The following is a 20,798-nucleotide window of genomic DNA, read 5'->3' on the forward strand; positions in this document are numbered from 1 at the left end:
AGGATTTTTAGTGAAAGAGCTGTTTGAGAGTTTGAATCATTGATCGCCACGCACATGGCACTCAGGAAGAGCTGAACCAAGGGACAAATCTGAGCATCAGACATGGCAGGTCATCCTCCTCCCCCAGGATCAGCCTCCTCCCCCAGTGACCAAGGCTTCATTACTGGATCCAGCTGCTTCTTCTCTGGCGGAATTCATATAGTCATGGCTGGTTAAGTCTCGGTGTTAGCCAGACCTGCGAGTCCCAGCTCGGGCTTAAGCAGAGTTCCCCATTCAAAGGAATTAGACTCTTTTTCTTTGTTAAATTGCCTTAGGAGGTAATGCTTCTGGACCACAGTCACGGAACACAGACAATTTCTACCACAACATCAGATGTTAATGATATCCTAGGCTCATGCTTGTGTTGTTATAATAGGCTGAGAATTAAATTAATTTAAACAATGATATCTATAGAAAAATTATTTTGCCAGGTGCGGTGGCTCATGCCTGTAAACCCCAACACTTTGAGAGGCCAAGGCGGGCAGATCACCTGAGGTCAGGAGTTCAAGACCAGCCTGACCAACATGGGGAAACCCCATCTCTACTAAAAACACAAAAATTAGCCAGGCCTGGTGGCGGGTGCCTGTAATCCCAGCTACTCAGGAGGCTGAGGCAGAAGAATTCTTGAACCTTGGCAGTGGAGGTTGCAATGAGCAGAGGTTGTGCCATTGCCCTCCTGCCTGGGTGACAGAGCAAGACTGTGTCTCAAAAAAAAAAAAAAAAAAAAAAACCCACACACAGAAAAATTATTTTAATTTATAGAGTGCATACTTTTCTAAAAACTATTAAATGCTTAGAAATTTTAAAAAACCAACTGTGCAACCTTCAGTAAGTTACCATACCACTCTGCCCTTGAAGGTATTAAAAGAAATAACCCCAAATTCCAATAATCTCTAGCACTCAATGAGTCTCTGTAATCCATACTTTCCCAAATATAACCTAGAAAGAAACACCCATAAAAGAACAAAAGAGATAAAAAAATTATTGGAGGAATTTATTGCCTGCCTCCATGTCTATAAACGTTCCATGGACACAAAATACAATCATTCAAATTCCCTGGAAACCACCTATATTTTTCGAAGAATTCATTCTGGCCAACAGTTGGGAACCAATAACAGGTCTAGAGCTCCTAATTTAGGCAGCTGTCCCAACATAAAAGCACAAGAGCCAGAGGTGAGTTCTCCAAAGCTGCACCTGTGTCTGCAAACGTTTACACAAGACCCTTGAATGGAGAACATGCCTTGTAGGGCAAATTCAACTTTTCCAAATGACACTGCTATAAGTTACTACATCTCATCCTCTACATCTCTGTGAGGGATGATGGATTAGTATTAACTGTCTTGCAAATACACATACAGAAACTCAGGTAAGGTCAGCCTTACTCAGTAGATAAACCCCAAACATGAAACCAGCTGGGTCAGCCTGTCATAATTGGATCCCTCTTGCATGTAAAGACAAAGGTTGTCTGCTTGGAGATGGAGAAGAGTTCAGCATAGCTCGCTTTGGGGCCAACTCAGAGCAAGGGTGAACCAATCCTAGCTGTCCTCTGACAAATAACAGCTGGAGTCCTGCCAGGAGCTCCTCCCCCAAGCACTTGGTTCCACAAGGCAAACCCCAGAGAAGTACAGGGGAAAAGAGCTCTCCATTTCTCAGCAGGGGACACCCTGGTCCCCACTGCCACTTTGTTTGCCCTCCAAGGGAAAAACCTCTCAATACCAGGTCCAGGAGCAGCTGGATGGGATCACTCAGAACCCGGCCGAGAGCTAATTCCCTCTTGGCTTCAAAATCCATCCTATGCTTGGAGATGCTGGGGCTGGGATTCTACAAACCACATTCTGGCTTTGTGCCCTGATAGGCTCAGCCCCCAGGGGGAGCTAGAAGGAATCTGCTAGGCTAAAGGAGGAAGTAGGAAGTGGCCCCTTGCTCACTTCCTGTTTGCTTCCTGTTCACTTTCTATCAGCTTCCTGTCCCTTGCCAGACAGGTTGCTAACCCTAGCAGTGCTTTTTCTTCACCCAGGCAGTGGCAACTCCTCCCAGAAACATTTCAATGCAGTTTTTGGTTTTTCCAACACTCACAAAAGCAGCCTCATGGGGGTCCCCTCAGAGACACCAACAAAACATCTCCCCTATTCAGAGGAGGGGGCACCATCCCCACAGGACTCTCCTCAGAGCTCAGAGATACCAGCTGCATTGAGTGGCATCCCCACTCCCCCACCTCAGAAGTCTGAGATTCAGCCCCATGTCCCTTCTCCAAGCAACCACCTTTCAATGAGTCCAGCATCTTCCCCTTGTTCCCAAGCCTCAAGTGTGATGCCTGCTTCCTGTGGTGCTACCTCCATGGATACCTTTGTATTCCCTTCCTGCCCTTTACTGTCACCTGGTTAATCATTCTTTATATTATCTCTAATAAAAGAGCTTGTGTGATTTCTGTCTCCTGCCTGGACCCAGACAAATCACCCACATTTTGGTCCTGAGAATCTGCAGCAGAGACTAGAGCCAGGGACTGCCCAAACCCACCAGAGAGCAGTGTGGGAGGGGACACACTCACCCACCCACCTACAGCTTGCATTCTGATCTGGTTTCTCTTAGCCAAGCTCCGCATGAGCAAGAGCAAGTTCAGATTTAAAGGACACTGTCAAGTGAGTGGTAAATGGAGCTTAACTTTTGTACGTTCTTGGGGAATGGCTGCAGGGACCCCTGGCTAAAACATTTGCATGTTTCTCCTTGTTGGTCAGTAGCGAACTGTAGGGAGCATCCTCATCATAGGCTTGCGGGCAAAGATGATCTTGTTATAGTTTTCAGTTGGACAGTCTCTGGAATCCGCATGTAAGTGTGTGGGTTCTGGGATCATGGTAGGAGCCATGGCCAATACCGAATAAGCGCCCCACATTGATAACGTGGATTCTGACAGCGTGTCCCTGAACACAGCTTTGCCAGAAGACTTGGAAGACTTCCTCCTTTTCGGCTGAATGACGCTGGAAGGTTTATTCTGCCTTGATGCCCAGGGTCTTTCCTCGAGGGCACGCATGCATTCCAGTTCTCTAGTTTTGCTTTTCTCAATGAGTCTTTTCACTGTCTGAGAGGTATAGGTGACATAGGCCGGCCAGGGGTCATGTTTTTCAAGTAGCTTCCGGGGAAGTCCAGTGTTTTCTGTGAGTCCTACCAACAAAGAGAAATGCAGGCCATTTAGAGGCAGTCACATGCAATAGCTTGATTCTTCAAAAAATGGGAAGGCATTGGAACCAGATTTTGAAGTCCTCCCTATTTTGCACCCCTTGTATTCAGTAGGAATAAAATCCAATTCAAAGTGGGGGAACAGAACGACATCCTAGAAAGTCTATCAATTAAACAACGAAAGAATGGTAAGGAGCAAGAGACAGAGTCAAACAGATCTGATTGATTTTAAATATTTGCATAACCTCAAATTGTTTTACCCCTGAACTTCTATTTTTTCACCAATAAAAATGGTTAGTCTAAGGCCTGAGAACTAAAGAAAGTAATATATTTCAAGGGCTTGGAACAGTACACTTAGTGCTTGAAAGCATGGGTTCTGTACTTGTCTGCTCCAAATTCCTACTCTACCCTCTTCATAGCTGTGAACCTTGAACAAGTTTCTTAACCTTGCTAAACTTCAAGTGCTTAATCTGTAAAATGGTGATTAGAATAAGACAAAGTTCATGGAACTTTCTTGTGGATTAAAGATAACTTATGTTAAGCTTTTAGCACAGTGACTAAAACCTTCGGCTATGTCTCCCAGCCTAAACTCTTTCATTTACTTCTAGTTACACCTTATAAGGTAGGTATTCTCCCATTTAATAGAGGACGAAACTGAGGCTGACTAGCTTGCACGACTAACAAGTGGTGGGTTTGAACTCAAGCTTAACAAGGCTCAAAAAAACCAAAGCTTTTCACTATGGTTGCTGGCCAGAAGTTTGGGGTGTTTGCCGAGGGGGGTGGGTGTTGCTAGAAATTCAACGCATTAGTTTATCAAGCAGCCTGTTCCTTTACAGATCCAAAATCATGGGCATGTCAGTCCTTCCCATCTTTCATTAGCAACGTCACTCTATTTAGCAGAAATGATTCAATTTCTCTCCTGCAGCTGCTACCTTCCTCTGTGTTCTTATGTGGTGCATTCTTTCCCTAATTCTATATTTCTTTGGTCATTTCAACTGGAGTTTTGCAGGGAGGAGAGTTAAAAGAGTCATCTTGCCATCTCCAAATTGAATGCAGTTAAAAAAAAAAATGCCGTAAATGGGGATAATCAAGTGAAGTGTAGGTCGTATAGTTATTCCCACGCTGCCTCGTGGCTGTCCAGGAGCTGGAGCTTGTCTGGGGACAGATCTGTCAGTAAAGAATGTGCTGTAGAAGGATTCCATCTCCCTGTAAAAGTCATGTGTGACATTACCTCTCACTAGAAACTTCCCAGCAAGGCCTCCAAGCACAGACTGTTCACCCTTGCCTCCTCCAAGCAAATGTAAGATCTTGTGGGATAGGGCATTTGCATGGATCTGGCAGAGTCCAAATTCAAACGCCTGGAGCAAAATGAGCAGCAACCCCGTTCCATCTCCTGAACATGCTGTGTTCTCTGCCACCATAACAAGAGTGGCTGCCCGCACTATTCACAATAGCAAAGACTTGGAACCAACCCAAATGTCCAACAATGATAGACTGGATTAAGAAAATGTGGCACATACACACCATGGAATACTATGCAGCCATAAAAAATGATGAGTTCATGTCCTTTGTAGGGACATGGATGAAGCTGGAAACCATCATCCTCAGCAAACTATCACAAGGACAAAAAACCAAACACCGTTATGTTCTCACTCCTAGGTGGGAATTGAACAATGAGAACACTTGGACACAGGAAGGGGAACATCACACACTGGGGCCTGTTTGTGGTGGGGAGAGGGGGGAGGGATAGCATTAGGAGATATACCTAATGTAAATGATGAGTTAATGGGTGCAGCACACCAACATGTCACATGTATACATATGTAACAAACCTGCACGTTGTGCACATGTACCCTAGAACTTTAAGTATAATAAAAATATATATTAAAAAAAAAAAAGAGTGGCCGCCCAGTGGCCTCTTCCCACTGCGAATCCTCCAACCCTAGACGGCCCCAGTGCAGGAGCTTCCACTGGTAACACTCCCAACCCTACCTTCTTCTTTCTTCATCCTTCTTGCATCCATCTTCTTTTTAATATTTACTGATTTCTTAACATCACAGGTTCAGATTCCTATGGGAAAATACACTTGTTAGCCAGAGCCTCCTCAAACTGGAAAGCAATTAGTAGCCACCCTGGGTGGGGGTGGTTCTAAGTCCTATATGGTCACTGCATGAGGCTAAGATGACTCCACCCCCTGAGAAGAGGACATGTTTTTTGTGGAGCTGGAGACAGGCCAAGTGAGCCCCGCAAAGGCCTGCAGGCATGGCCTTGCTCAAGAGCTGTAGACTGTCATGATAGTCTCTGGGTGTTCTGCTTTCCAGTCTCCTAACTTTAAAGGAGAGAGGCTGGGTAGGCTGGGGGCTGTGTGGAGGCTGGTCCACAGAGGGGAAGTGAAAAAAAAAAGTCCCCGTTTCAAAACCTTTCTATCTCCTCTACCAGAGTCCAAGAGTGGTCACATTACTACAAGCACGACATCCAACCTGCACTTCTCAGCCTGGAATGACAGAAGGTAGCAGAGATGGGCAGTGGCCAGGAGTCAGCTACCAGGGCCCCAAGCCCAGGCTGAAACATGGAAGTCTAATGCTCTATGCAACCATGCAGGGGGGAAATCTGATGGAAACCATAGTGTAGTGGTTCTCAAACTTGAGGCTGCATCCACCTGGAGAGCTTGTTAAAGCCCAGATTGCTGAGCCCACCTCCAGAACTGCTGATTTAGCAACCGCTGTTTTAAGCCAAAAGGGGGAAAGAAAAAAAAACTACTGGAGATTTGTAAGGTTATATTATTAACTACCTAGAGACAAGAAATGAGTCCAGGAGATCTTTTTGGTTCCTTTCCAGCTCTAAGACACATGCGTATGCCTAAGAGTTCATTACATTTCTATATTCGATTTTGCCATCTCTTTGGCCTTTAAGCACTTAAAAGTGCCATGAAGCATTTCTACTATCACCTGCAAAAGCCCATTGAGAAAGAGTCTCAGATAATTCTGAACAGCTCCCAGATGATGCTGGTGCTTTTGGTCTGGCGATCACACTTTGAGAACCATGGGTCGAAGGCAGTGCTTCTCAAATTTTACCAAGTACTAGAATCACCTGGAGACCTTGTGCAACCACAGACACCCAGGTCCCACCTTAGAGATTCTGATTCAGTAGGTCTGTTTTGAGGACCTGAGAATCTGCATCTCTAAGTAACTCCTAAATGATACTGATGTTGCTGGCCTGTGGTTCATACTCTGCGTAGCCCTGGTTTAGACTGAGTAGTGGGTGTTAAGCCTTTTTTATCAGCTGCCACGTACGTGAGGGCTGACTCATTTCTGCATGGAACACTCCTCCGAGATAAGCAGTTCCCAGGTTTTTCATCCCCCTTTTTCCCTAATCAAGGAACTATTGTGGAATGGTAGTGAGTGTGTCATTGACAGGGTCAACTTTAAATTCCACTATTTTTATAGAGTAAATTATTCACACATTCCAGCATTTTATTATAACACATCTAACAAAGGATGGCATCCCGGAGATTCATTCATACTCCCAAAAAAATGCTCTTTTTGTCAAACCTATTTAGAGACAGATCTTACAGAGTCCCTGCTGTGGGTATCAGTGCCAATCTTCCACAGCAGTGCAGTTCTAGAAGAATTCACAATGTCATTATTCTGAGGCTAGGGAAGAAATAATGCTCAAATAGTCATCTAACGTAGAGAAAGTTTCATGTCATCATTTTTTTTTAATTGTAAGGTAAAGCATCTTAGTTCTCCTTCTAAGACCTACCATAAGGCTTCAGAATCTAAAGTCACCCATTCCAAGTCCCCCATAACACAGCACATGACACGCAAGTGGCCACCCAACTTGGGCCTGTCCACCTCTAGTGAAAATAGAACTCTTTACTTCTTCCATATTTTAGCATTGTTAGAAATTTCTTGGCTGGGCGCGGTAGCTCATGCCTGTAATCCCAGCACTTTGGGAGACCACGACGGGCGGATCACCTGAGGTTGGGAGTTCGAGATCAGCCTGGCTAACATGGTGAAACCCTGTCTCTACTAAATATACAAAATTAGCTGGGCGTGGTGATGCATGCCTGTAATCCCAGCTGCTCAGGAGGCTGAGGCAGAAGAGTCACTTGAACCCAGGAGGCGGAGGTTGCAGTGAACCGGGATCGTGCCACTGCACTCCAGCCTGGGCAAAGGAGTGAGACTCCGTCTCCAAGAAAAAAAAAAAAAAGAAAGAAAGAAATTTTTCTTCATCTTCTCATCTGTAAATAGGATGCCAGATGGTGGAAATATGTTTCAGCTGGCAGTATTTGGAGGGATTGGGAGTCATTCCTTTCATCATTGCTTCTAAGTTTCTAGTTGATGAACCCTGAAGCCTCAGGAAAGCCCAGTCTTACAAACATTTGTTTCCAGACTTGTGTGCATCTGTGTGACCCACCATCCTGCTCAGAGCCTCTGGCCAGGACTCACCTGACCCCTACAGCTGTGCCGTGTGGCTGATAGGACAAGTCTACGAATGGTGGGTTTTTCTCGTACCTGCTGAAGCAGGAACTAGGAAACGATAAAAAGAACCAAGGGAGGGAGTGTTTGAGACTGCCTCAAAACTCATGGGGAGGACTTGTTTGTTTGAAAATAACAGGAGACAAATAGTTGACATTAAGTCTGAAGAGAAGCTGTGGGCTTTTATAATTTCCTTCAATTCCAGCACAAAGGTTCCATTTTGTGTCCCTGTAAATGAAATGCAAACCAGCAGTCTACAGACAGAAACAGCATTGACGGGAGGGGCAGGAGGCAGAGCGTTGAAGCGGCTTTCTTGTTTTTCCTACAGACACAAAGCCCAAGTTCAGACTACTGGGCTTTCAGAGCCAGCTCCCCACTCCCCCGCTCAATCTCTCATCCCACCATTTTCAGAATCTAGTCTGACAGACTAGGTTTGGCCTAAATCATTCAATTACCTGGAACGTGAAACAATCAACCTTGATCACCTTCCTTAACTTCTTAGGACCTCAGTTGTCACTTACAAAATGAGGAAGAGGATGAACTCCTGTCCCAGAAGACACAGTTCTGTAATTTCTTTTTTTCTTTCTTTTTTTTTTTTTTAGAGACAGGGCCTCACTCTGTCACTCAGGCTGGAGTGTAGTGGCACGATCGTAGCTCACCGCAGCCTTGAACTCCTGGGCTCAAGCAATCCTCCTGCCTTCACCTCCTGGGTAGCTGGGACTACAGGCACACACCACCATAGCTGGATAATTTTTTTTTTTTTTTTTTTTAGTAGAGACAGGGGTCTCGCTATTTTGCCTGATCTCAAGTTCCTGGGCCCAAGCGATCCTCCCACCTCTGCGTCCCAAAGTGCCGGGATTATAGGTGTGAATCATAACACCTAGCCCACAGTTGTTTTAAAAATGTCTGGTAATTGCTTTCTTTGCCATGTCTGCTGCGAGAATGAAGACCGTTCTCAGCAATCAGACTGCTAACATTCTAGAAAATGTCAACATTACTCTGAAGGGACACACAGTTATCGTGAAGGGCCCCAGAGGGACTTCAATCACATCAGTGTAGAACCCAGTCTTCTCGGACAGAAAACAAAAAAGGCTCCGGGTTGACAAAGGGTGGGGTAACGGAAAGGAACTGCTACCGTTTGGACTATTTTACTCATGTACAGAACATGATCAAGGGTGTCACACTGGGCTTCCACTACAAGTTGAGGTCTGTGTATGCTCACTTCCCCATCAATGTTGTTATCCAGGAGAATGGGTCTCCTGTCGAAATCCAAAATTTCTTGGGTGAAAAATACATCCACAGGGTTTGGATGAGACCAAGTGTTGCCTGTTCAGTATCTCAAACCCAGAAAGATGAAGGAAACAACATTGAGCTTGTTTCAAATTCAGCGACTTTGATTCAGCAAGCCACAACAGTTAAAAACAAGGCAATCAGGAAATTTTTGGATGGTATATATGTCTCTGAAAAAGGAACTGTTCAGCAGGCCGATGAATAAGATCTAAGAGATGTCCAGCTACAGAAACAAGATGCCGGATGATTCCTAAGACCTACTTGTGATATTTAAAAGATGCAATAAAAGACCTATTGATTTGGAAAAAAAATGTCTGGAAATTAAAATGCTTCTAAACCCAGTGGTCCCCAAACTTTGCAGCACATTGGAATTACTAGGGATCTTGGAAAAATACAAATGTAGGTGCCCACTCCCAACATCGTGATTTGATTGGAATGGGATGCAGTACAGGCACTGGAATTAAAAGTGTCCCAGACAATTTCTCTGTGCAGCAAAATTTGGGAACTGCTGTTCTAGAATCTAAAACAAAAACAAATTGAAGATTTATAAAATATTATTATTAACTACTTAGAAACAGAAAAAGAACCGGGCGCGGTGGCTCACACTGTAATCCCAGCACTTTAGGAGGCCAAGGTGAGTGGATCACTTGAGGCCAGGAGTTCGAGGCCAGTCTGGCCAGCATGACGAAACCCCGTCTCTACTAAAAATATAAAAATTAGCCAAGCGCAGAGAGAGAGAGAGAGAGAGAGAGAGAGAGAGGTCCAGAAGATCTTTTTAGTCCCTTTCCAGTCCTAAGACACATGCTTTCACTCAAGAATCCCTGATTATAGTCAGCACTGCATCTCAAGGGCCTTTAAACATTTAAAAGGGCCATGAAGTATTTCCACAACCACCACCTGCCAATACCAAAATTGACTTAGATCAAAGAAGAAGCAGTGGCTTTAAAGTACAGAGCTAAGGAAACTGTGGCCGCCATGGGACTCTCATGCAAATCTAATGATCTCACCCTCTCTGGCCGCAAGCTGCATCCTTATCTCAGGAAACCATCTTGCAAAAGGATTTTACGGGTTCCAGGCAGGATTGATGGATTAGTGCTCTGGCACAAATCGACCCCACTCAGACTTTTTGCCCTACTAAGGCTGTGAAAGTAGTTCCATTTACATAGTCATGATGAGTGGATTATTATCTCAATCTAGTGTTTCCTAAACTGTGTCCCACAGAATGCAAGAATCTCTCCTCAAGATGTTAATAGGTATTACTTAAAGAAAAAGAAGGGGCCCATGGCAAAAGCTGCCCTATAAAGCCATACAGATTGTTCAACCCAGGAGTCGCCACATCTTCTAAATCTGCAAGATTTCAGGCCTGTCCTCAGTCAACTAAGTTAGAAAAAAAATGCCATGTTAAAAAAATTCCTTTGGAGCAGGATTTTCAGAGTCTGATATATGTTAACTTGTTCTGTAATTCTCCAAAAGGAAGACTGAATATGCAGCATCCCCTAATCTCATTTGACCAAGGAATCACTCATTCATTCATTCATTTAATGCGTGGGTCATCTCATGGAACTAGCAACCAGTGAAAAAATGTTCTTCTCCTGCCCTTGTTTTGGAATTGCAAGCCTCAGAGAATGTTATGGAGTAAGAGGATAGAATGATGAACTTGCTCAGGGTATAACAGGGTCTTCAATGAATCACCTTCCCTGAAATCAGCTGCAGAGTCCCCAAAACTGTCCCTATGCAGAAGAAAAAGCTCCACTGGAAACAAGACCTGTGTTCACTCTGTTCAGCCTCTTTCTTCTCTTCTCTGCTCCAATCTGCAAGGCTTCTTTTGTTTGTCTCACCTCCCACTTTTCTTCCTGAGCCATCCCTAAGTGTCTTGCCTGGCCCCAGAAGGAGAATCACATTTTCTCAAACAGGAGCCTGATGCAAACCCTCATTTCACCTCTGCATTTTATCCTCTTTGACCTTCCATCTCCTCCCTGCCCTCTGCTTTTTTCTTTTTTTCCTTCCCTCTAGCCACTCCTCATTTATGTTTGGCTAAAGAGGAAGCTACCACTAAAGCCAGAAGTGTCTTGAAAAGCTTATCTCTGAGATCTGGAAAGATGCTCCTGAGCAAGGATCCACTTAGCAGAACTTGCGGTTTCCATGCTGATCTCCACCCGAATGGGCCGACAAGAGACCCACAAAACTGCCCATCTCACAGGACCAGCACATGTGCTGACTCCCTGAACTTCAAACAGAAACGCTGGGAAGCACCGAGTGCACACCTACGGATTCTCAGTGGCGCCCCCTTCTGACTCTCTCCACTTCTTTACCCCGCCCCTATCCCATGGAAACTGTCACCATTGCCCCACCTCTAACAAATGGGTTCTGCGGGGTGCACACAAGAAGATGACCATTTCTTGTGCCTTTAGTGACACAGACACTGGGGACCCTTGGGAATCGTAGAAATGTTAAGGCAAAGGGCAATGGGAGTGGGGAGGGGCGAATTGGTCTTTCGGGAAAGAAGGCATCTCTCTCCCTCTCCCTATGCAATAATTTGCTGGACACGTCTTCCTCTCTAGCGCCTCTCCCCAGAAACGAACACACACACAAAGGAGAGAAACAAGTCCATTACCGCACTATCTTTAAAAAGTCACGTTGCATACAGTGGGCCATTTGGTAGTGTTAGCATGTTCTTATACAGACCGTGCCTCTTTCTGGTGGATCAGCTGTCTCTAACCACATCAGGGTGGGGAGGTGGGAGTCTGATCAGAATTGCTCATCTTCTAACACAGACTTGGCATTACTGATTCATCACTTATGATGGGAAGGAGGGGATATGTTGCTTCTTGATAATGCTTCTATACTTTATTTTCTGTAACGATTATATGTGTACGTTGAGGGCATTTTATTTTCCAATGGTGAAAACGCAGTTCAAGTACCTATGGCCATTCAACATATTCATTCATGCACACATGCACACATTCAAAAAACCTATCCTGAGCTCCAAACATTACTCTTCTAAGAGGGACAGGTCCTGCACTCACCCAGGACCCACTGTGGATTTTCCACATTTGCCTCTTACTTTGGGATCTACCCTTCTCAATGTCAAGGGTCCGCAATCCAGGTTTCCCGTGCTGATAAATCCAGACTAATCATTGCTATCTGTGTTACGAGAAACAAAAGCAGAGGCCTCCCAGTACATAGGACAATACATGTTCCATCAACCACTCTGCAGTCAGGTACTGACTAAGCATCTCATACATCAGGCAGGCACTGAGTCTTGGTTCAAGGAGCTCACAGCCCCATGAGGAAGACAGACCACCAGTTTCCTAATTCAACCTGGGTGGGGAGGAGTGTCAAGAAGGAGGTTCAAGAAGAGAAAATGGTTATGCTGGATCTCAAAGGGCAAAGGAAATGATGGGCAGTGGGCATGGTTTAAATGCCAGCCTCATTGCTTCCAAATCCTGAGTGAAGTGCTTCCCCACTCGGGATCCATGTTCTTCTTCCAGCATGCAGATAATATAGGCAGTTTCCAAACAGTGTGTTTTCTGCATGTGAATTATAATGCTGAATTGGCTGAAGAAACACTTTATAAATTCACTGCGGGAAGAAGCATTAGGCACTGTATACTTATCAGGTACAACCATGAATCTGAATTTTATATTTATCCAAGGAATATTCAATTACAAATATTAAATTCCCACTTTAAGATGACATTGGAAGGCCCATTAAGCATAAAACACATGTGGTCATTATCTATTGATCTATTATCTACAGATCAAGTTCCAAATTTAAAAATAGAATTTCCAGAACTAGCCAAGCAGGCATAATCAGAGGAGAGCTTTTCAACCTTTTTCTTCCATGGACATTTTTGGGGTAGGCTTGTACACTGGCAGACTGGACAAGTAAGAAAGATACGGAGAAACAAGCAGCAAGAAATAGCCCTACAAACTCATATTCAGGAAAGCAAACATGAAAGGCTTTAAGCAATTTGTGCTCAGAGACCCTCTCTCTGCCTGACAGCTCCTGAGCAGTGTGACTATTAAAATGTGTTGCCTCATAATATCTAATCAATCAGAAAAAGGAAGTCCTGCTCCGTTGAAACAATAGGGACATTGTGAACCTGGAGAACACTTCAGGGAAACAGCCCGGCATTTCCCAGGACTGCGCTCAATCAATGGGCCAAGCCACCCCTTTTCAAACGCTCAAAGCACTAGGAATCCAGGCCAGTGTTGTTTTGAAGAAGGTGACTTGCATTTGAGATTTTACCTAGAAGAAGCCCCAGTCTCCACTTCTAAGGAACTGCACATCCTCCAAATATCCCAGCCCATAGCATGACCATGCAGAAAACACTTTCCTAACCCTTCCAGGAAGGGAATCACTCATGTGCTCTCAGAGGAAGGTGAAAGTGACTGTATTATAAATAGTGTGTGTCACAATTACATTGAGAAATTGCCAGAAAGCAAAAGGTGTAGGGCTTTACTTCAGGCCTCACGTAAACTGATGACCTTGCATTCAAAATCTGAAAAGCTGAGGGTAAGAAGCTGAAATGTGGAGACACACACCCTCTCTCCCTTCTGCCGCAGACACCCCTGGGACTTTCTGCCAAGAGAACTTTGTCAGGTCATCATCAGGAGACGCGCTCTCTCTCCTGGGCCTTTGCAGGCCTCTCAAGGAAAGGTTGTTCCGGAGCCTGGAGGCAGTCACTTTCCTTCCCCACTACTGCCATCCTCAAACCATTTTCCTTCCTTCCTCCTCCTCTGAAGCTTGTGCCCCCAGGCTACACCACCACCTCACCTGCCCGGTTGCTGCCAGCTCCTGAGCGCTGTCCTCTGCCCCTCAGTCCCTGACAACTTGAGCCCCAGGCACACTGTCCTCCTTTGCGCTGTTCCCTGTCATCACCGTGGCTTCTTCATTGTCTCCTGAATGATCTGTGCAGACCTCCAGCCCAGCAGTCCTTGACCTGCTCATTTCCAATCACCAGGTCTTCCTCTCAGTCTCCACCACCCGTGCCTCTGTGATCAGGCCACTGTTCTTATCATCCCCAATAACGATGCTACATCCAAAATCTAAGCTGCAAGCATCTCACTCTTATTTCACACATATTTGCATGGCAAAGCCTTAATACCAGTTCAATCCACCTGTGGGGCTCTTTTGGGTGCTGTCATCTCAGCAACTAAACTTGGTGAGAGGAAAACGCCACTGTGCCGATTGGTCCCACGTGGAGTAACAGCTAACATTTCTATGCCGTGTGGTGTGACCAGGGCACACGCTAAGTGTATTACCTATAGTGACTAATTAAATCCTAACAAAACCCATATGCATTAGGTACTATTGTATTAACCCCATTTCACAGGCAAGTAAACTGGAGCCTGTAGGGACATTAAGCAGCCTGTCCAAGGTCACACAACAATTAGGTGACAAAAAACAGGATTTGCCCTCAGGCAGTCTAGCTGCAGAATCCTTTTCTTTATAATTCCACACACTTGCTCCTCTATCTCCAAGTCAATCAACAGAGGTAGTCCAACCAACACTTCTCCCTTCCTACTCTTTTCACTTTTCCACTCCCCAAGCAACTCTTTCTTTTTTTAATATTATATTTATTTTAGATTCAAGGGTCCGTGTGCCTGTTTGTTACGTGGGTATATCGTGTCATGGTGGGCTTGGGATCCTGGTGAACCCATCACCCAAAATATTGAACTTTGTACCCAACAGGTAATTGTTCCACCCTCACCCTCCTCTCATCCTCCTCCCTTTTGGAGTCCACAGTGTCTGTTATCTTCACCTTTATGTCCATGTGTACACATCGTTTACCTCCCAGTCATAAGTGAGAACATGTGATATTTTATTTTCTGCTTCTGGGTTAGTTTACTTAGAATAATGGCTTCCAGCTCCATCTATATTGCTGCAAAGGACAGTCTTTCATTCTTTCTCATGGCTGCATAGTATTCCATGGCATATATATGCCACATTTTTCTTATCCAGTCAACCATTGGTGGACACTTAGGTTGATTCCATGACTGCTATTATGAATAGTGCTGGGATAAACATATGAGTGCAGGTGTCTTTTTGATAAAATGATTTATATTCCTTCAGGTAGATTCCCAGTAGTGGAACTGTTGTGTCCAATGGTAGTTCTATGTTTAGTTCTTTAAGAAATTTTCATACTTTTTTCAATAGAAGTTAAATATTTTATATTCCCACCAAGCAACTATTTCAAACCTCCTCTTCACCTCCTTCTCCTTCCATTGTAGGTTGTCTTTGTCTTGCCCGGCTTTGAGAAAAATCCAAGAATCCATCAAGAACTCCCTCATCTCCCACCATCACTCGTACCAACTCTCCACCATAAGCTCCCCTGCACTATGCCTTCCTTCCCACTACTATGAATGAGGCATCTGTATTCCTGTCAAAGAACACCTCTCCACTTGCAGCTCAGGCCTCTCACCCTCCACCTTCCAAAATGCAATGGTCATGGATAGAGTTGAGCACTCACTCTCACATTCTTGAAATGTTCTCCCACCTGGTTTCCATGATGCCACAGGAGTGGAATCCCACCATCACTCAGCAAGCTCCTTCTGTCTCCATTGAGGATTTCTAGTTCCCTTCTTTTTTTTTTTTTATTTCCACACATCCCCAAAGTGATGGCAATCAGTTTTGTGGCTCTACATCTCATCAATTTGCCACATCTAACTAGACTGACTTCTTTCCCAAAGTCCAAATACATATATCCAACTGCCAATATACTACATCTTTATTTGTATATCTAATAACCTCTCAAACTTTTCATGGTTCAAACAAACTCTTGACCTTACTCCATAAAATGTTCCTCTCTGGTCTCTTCCATCTCAGAAAGAGGCATCATCATTCATCGAATTGCCCAGTTCAAACATCTAACATCTCTTTCTTCTTCATTCAATATCTCCAGCCCATTATCCTCCCCAAACCCAGCATGATTTAACTTCTCTACACCACCAGCCTCCTCTAAGACATCAACATCTACTAACTGAACTACTGAACACCTGCTACTGGTCTCCCTGCTTCCACTCTTGTTCCCCTATGATATGATTTGGCTATGTCCCCACCCAAATCTCAACTTGAATCGTAGCTCCCATAATCCCCACGTGTTGTGGGAGGGACCTGGTGGGAGGTAACTGAATCATGGGGGTGGGTTTTTCCCGTGCTGTTCTTATGATAGTGAATAAGTCTTACAAGATCTGATGGTTTTATAAAGGGCAGTTCCCCTGCACATGCTGTCTTGCCTGCTGCCATGTAAGACGTGCTTTGCTTCTCCTTCACCTTCCGCCATGAATGTGGAGACCTCCCCAGCCATGTGGAACTGTGAATCCATTAAACCTCTTTCCTTTATAAATTACCCAGTCTCGGGTATTTCTTCATAGCAGTATGAAAATGGACTAACACACCCTACAACTCCTTCTCCAAAGAGGACCCAGAGTGATTATTTTTAAACATGATCAGATTAAATCATCCCCCTGCCTAACATTCCCCCCTCCATTTAGAAGCCAATGCCAGTTCCTTATGTTGGCCTGCAAATCCTCTTTGATCTGGCCCCTGCCTCCCCACAAGCCTTGGCCAGAGCAGCTCCCCACATCACCCACTGTGCCCGGCCACACTGGCCTTGCCTCTCTTCTTTAAAAACATCAAGCTTGTTCCCACCTCAGGGTCCTTCCCCAGCTACTGCCTCTGCCTGGGATGCATGTGTCCCTGATCTTCACATGGGTTGTTCCTGCTTAGAAGTCAGGATTCAGCCTAAATGTCAACTCCTCAGCCTTCCCTGACTATGTAACATCACCACCAGTCACTATCACATCTCCTATTTTAATACTCTGTCTAACACTATCCCTGCCTGACATTTCTTATGATTTACTCATTTATTTTCTCTTAACCAACTAGACTATAAGCCACATGACAGCGATGATCTCATCCATCACATTCATTGCTCTGTCCCCAGGCTCTTGGGTCAAAATCATCAGATAAATGGACGTTACTGCAATTGCCATAAGCAACTTCTCCTGGAATCCCCAGGGATCGCTGGAAATCCAAATATCCAGCAGCTGCACACTTGTATGGGACACAAATGAAAAACACAGACTGGCTCACTTGGCAGTAGCCACTACTAGAGAAGGTAAAATGGCAAAAGGTGGGACGTTATCCTGAAAAATATGACAAACAAATAGGATTAAGGGAAAGGCCTGGGTTCAAATCCTAGCACTGCTCTTTACTGCTTTTAAGTGGGCAAATCCCTTGCCCTATCTCTCTCTGAGCCTTAAAGTTTTCCCCCATCCATAAAATGGGAATGATACATGTCCCAGTAGGTTTATTGTGAAGATTGAGTGCAGCATTGCAGTTGCCTGTTAAGGAGCAAGAATTCAAGCACATGGACCCGTGACAGTCCAGGATTCACACTTTGTTGAAAGAAGAAATGAAACCTTGTCTAACATGAAAAAGTCCATGGGACCTAAATGTACCAAATTCTAACTCAAGCTCTACTCTGCTTTCCCTTCGAAACTCCATTTCTAGTCTCACCTTGTCCAATATGTGCTTTTACCAGGGCCAGGTGTCATCACCGCCAAATATGGCTCCAGGGATATCTTCTGTATGTTGTTAACGGATGTTAGCTGCTCTTTCAAATGCATGGAGTTGCCTCCCTCATAATGATTATAAATTCACACACATGGCCCCTCCTCTATACACCCTTCATATCTCCTTCCCTTCCAGGACGGCTCCAGTGATACTTCTTTTGAGAGGCTGGCCCAGGCCTCTAGGTGAAATAGACAGGCCCTCCTCTCTGCTCCCAAGTATCTTATCTGAACCTTATCTATCAAGGCCGTCTATCCCATTATGTGTTATTTAGTTGGGATGTGTCTCTCTCTCTTTCTCTTTCTCTTTCTCTCTCTCCCTCTCTCTCCTTAAATTGTGTTTTTAAGGCTCAGAAGTGAAATCCTTACATTCCAAGCAACTCTTGGCCCACTGGAAGGATAGACTGTGGTCAAAACCCAAGGCCAGATTTGCTTAACTTGTTCTGATATCTTGCCTTCCTCTTCTCCCAGCTGAAAACTCTCTCTTAAAGTTCCTGGTGCAGCTCATTTCACTGGGTTCCTGAGAAACACAGAATGAGGAAGGTTAACTGGCAACATTTTAATATAATGTAACTAAGATGAATGATTTGGGAGTGGAGGGAGAATTGACACTTAAATACATAAAAAATTGTTGCCTATAATTAAAAATTAAATAGCAATTGTCCATTCCCCAGACGTCACAAAAGAGGCCTCTTGAAATTGGGCAGAAACCTTTAATTATTCATTTCAAATGAGTCTTTCTAGGCACAAAGATACCCCAATAGTATACAATGAAACATAACTATCCACATAGAAAATATGTGTGGGTAACATGCCAGGAAATCCTGAAGTTCTGACAAAAGAAGTTTTTGTTGAGTCAGAAATCCAATTAAACAAAAAGGGTTTTAATGTGTCTTCTTGGCATGGTGGAGGGATGTGTCAAATACTTTTAAAATCCGGGAACGGGCCCTTCATGGAGCGTGTTCTGTGGCATCCTCTCCCCAACAAAGGCCTGGCCTTTAAAAACCACCCTCGTGCAGCATTGCAGAAAAACCACCCTCTCTTTACTGTTCTAGTGAGGTTCTGCAATATTATTGTGTATGGATTTCAGTATCTGAAGACGGCAATTGATAGGAGAATTCACCAAAGTTCCCAAAACAGTAAAACTGCGTATTAAACAATTGTTTTGGGGAAAGTGTAGCATGGAATTCAGAGCACGAGTTCAAGACAGGTCAGTGACTTAGCTGCGTGACCAGGAACAAGGAACAAGACAGTTAAAATTCAGAAGCCTCCGTGTTCTTATCTGTAAAACAGAGGCAGTAAGAGAAACTATCCTTGGAGTGCCATGAGGATTTCATGAGATAATTCATATACAGCACTGGGCAGAGGGCACAGGGCACAGGCACATGGTAAGAGCCTATTGGCTGGACTGTTATCATCATTAATATGCAGGATGGCAATGTCTGCTGCAATGCCAAAACAATGCAGTCCAATGTTCAGGCTGGAGAAATTAGTACCAAGACACATCTTGCCAAAACTGAGTCACTACGTTGAAGATCAGGGAAGGGACTGAAGTCATGGGAGGTCAGAAGACATGCTCAGGGGACCCTTCAACACAACTGCTGCCACAGTGCTGTCCCTACATCTCACCCATCCCTCCCCAGCCACACTACTTTTCACATCCCAAGAGTCCTGTTTATACCATCTGCTCACCAAAAGGCACTCTGTAGAGCTCATCCCCCAGCCCAGGTGGGTCCCAGGCATCTAGGCCCACCTGCAGCCACATACATACACATGTTAACCGAGGGATGTTTCCAGCCAACAGGCAGCAATACACACAGGTGCACATATATACACAGCCCTGAGCAGAACATCCGTATAGTCACTGGCATGAGAAAGAGTCTACGAGCCACACACACATGCTTGCATGAATGTGTACACACACAGGCACATGCATACACATACAGGCACACTCCTGTGTAACTCCCTAAGTCACCAGCCATGTCCGCTCTCCCTCACCCCAGCTTTGACATCCCTTGTCCCAGCTGAGTTCTATTTCTCTTCTCAGATCATTGCAGCCCTGGTGTAGAATGACTTAAGGAGCAAAACTGAGCCAAGAAGTCTCGCCAGATTCCTACTGGAAGTAATCTGGAGACTTAGATCTGCCAACAGCATCAAGGGGCTGTAGGGTAGAGCACAGAATTTGGAGGTAGGAGAACTCACGTTGAAACCCACCTTCACCTCGGTATGTCCCATCTTGAGCAAGTTCCTTAGTCTTTCTGAAGCTCAGTTTCCTCATCCCCAAGGTGGGAAACATCCTGCCCCATAGTATGTTATGATGATCCAATTGATGTAAGTAAAAGTATTCCATGATCCATAAGGAGCTTTGTAACCGTTAGCTTTTCTGGTAAACACCAAGAACCCTGAACTATTGGTATACATTCTATTCTATGATTTATGACTGGGGGTTCATTCTGGAAACAAGAAAACTAGATAACAATGGCATGCAACGTGAGGACTAGATGAACTCTAGAGAGAACAAAAGTGTCACGTTGTTCAGAGAATGACAGGGACCACAGAGAAAAGGAAAACAAGTGTGGATGCTGTCTTGGGCTCATCTGCTTTCCTTGGAGTGGAGCTGGGATGGGATGGGAGAGTGGAGGGTAAATGTAACAATTAATAGCTTAGAAACTCAGAATTTTTTGCCCCTGAGAAGTCTCTAGATGCTATGCCAACAAAGCTATCTACCTCCCAAGAGGAGTAAGGGTAAACATGGAAATCGTTTTCCTCTGCCCCTCACAACTCACATCTTAACAGAACTGCAAAGGTGACAGAGCCAATAGGATGAATGGCAATTGGGCCCATAAGGCCTATCCTAGGCAGGCTGCAAGATGGCTTCCAATAATCTCACCTCTTGGTATTCACATCCTTGTGAAATCCCCTCCCCTGAGTATGAACTGCATCTAATGACTCACTTCTAATAAACAGAATATGGTCTAAGTGATGGAATGTCACTTCTGAGATTAGGTCACAAAAAAAGTTGGCTTCCATCTTGAGCACTCTCTTACACTCTCTTTCTCGTTCATCTTAAGGGAAGCCAGCTGCCATGTTACAAACTGCCCTATGGAGAGGCCCATGTGGCAAGGAACTAAGGGAGTTTTCCAGCCAAGAGGCAGCAAGAAACTAGGGTTTTTAGTTCAACAGCCTGTGAGGAGCTTAATCTTGCCAATATCCATGTGAGTGAATTTGGAAGTGG

The 20,798-nt window shown here is 44.6% G+C and overlaps 2 protein-coding genes and 1 pseudogene across 3 annotated transcripts in view, besides 2 other annotated features; 1 reads left to right on the forward strand and 2 right to left on the reverse strand.

The window, feature by feature from the left end:
• Positions 1 to 1,012: 1,012 nt before the first annotated feature.
• The window catches only part of TVP23C-CDRT4 (TVP23C-CDRT4 readthrough), a 127,469-nt gene continuing 107,683 nt past the window's right edge, over positions 1,013 to 20,798 (reverse strand). For both annotated transcript variants that reach the window (NR_037924.2, NM_001204478.2), the window contains 2 exons: positions 5,206 to 5,283; positions 1,013 to 3,198 (listed from right to left, as the gene is read on the reverse strand). Coding sequence is in view for 1 of the 2 variants with exons in the window: in NM_001204478.2 (NP_001191407.1) it covers positions 5,251 to 5,283 (33 nt within the window). In the remaining variant the exon portion in view is untranslated. The remainder of the gene's footprint in view (positions 3,199 to 5,205; positions 5,284 to 20,798) is intronic.
• The window catches only part of CDRT4 (CMT1A duplicated region transcript 4), a 31,607-nt gene continuing 11,821 nt past the window's right edge, over positions 1,013 to 20,798 (reverse strand). The window contains exons 2-4 of the mRNA NM_001204477.2: positions 18,002 to 18,083; positions 5,206 to 5,283; positions 1,013 to 3,198 (exon numbers count right to left, since the gene is read on the reverse strand). Coding sequence (NP_001191406.1) covers positions 2,771 to 3,198; positions 5,206 to 5,236 — 459 coding nt within the window. The 5' untranslated portion in view covers positions 5,237 to 5,283; positions 18,002 to 18,083 and the 3' untranslated portion in view covers positions 1,013 to 2,770. The remainder of the gene's footprint in view (positions 3,199 to 5,205; positions 5,284 to 18,001; positions 18,084 to 20,798) is intronic.
• Positions 8,611 to 9,288, forward strand: RPL9P2 (ribosomal protein L9 pseudogene 2; annotated as a pseudogene).
• Positions 13,319 to 13,820: an enhancer, noted in NCBI's record as "H3K4me1 hESC enhancer chr17:15351635-15352136 (GRCh37/hg19 assembly coordinates)". NCBI's record gives its function as "activates a minimal SCP1, AML or CMV promoter by ChIP-STARR-seq in primed H9 embryonic stem cells {active_cell/tissue: H9 hESC(primed)}" and the evidence as "EXISTENCE:reporter gene assay evidence [ECO:0000049][PMID:30033119]".
• Positions 13,821 to 14,320: an enhancer, noted in NCBI's record as "H3K4me1 hESC enhancer chr17:15352137-15352636 (GRCh37/hg19 assembly coordinates)". NCBI's record gives its function as "activates a minimal SCP1, AML or CMV promoter by ChIP-STARR-seq in primed H9 embryonic stem cells {active_cell/tissue: H9 hESC(primed)}" and the evidence as "EXISTENCE:reporter gene assay evidence [ECO:0000049][PMID:30033119]".

Source organism: Homo sapiens, chromosome 17 (assembly GCF_000001405.40).
Source record: "Homo sapiens chromosome 17, GRCh38.p14 Primary Assembly".
Lineage (NCBI taxonomy): Eukaryota > Metazoa > Chordata > Mammalia > Primates > Hominidae > Homo > Homo sapiens.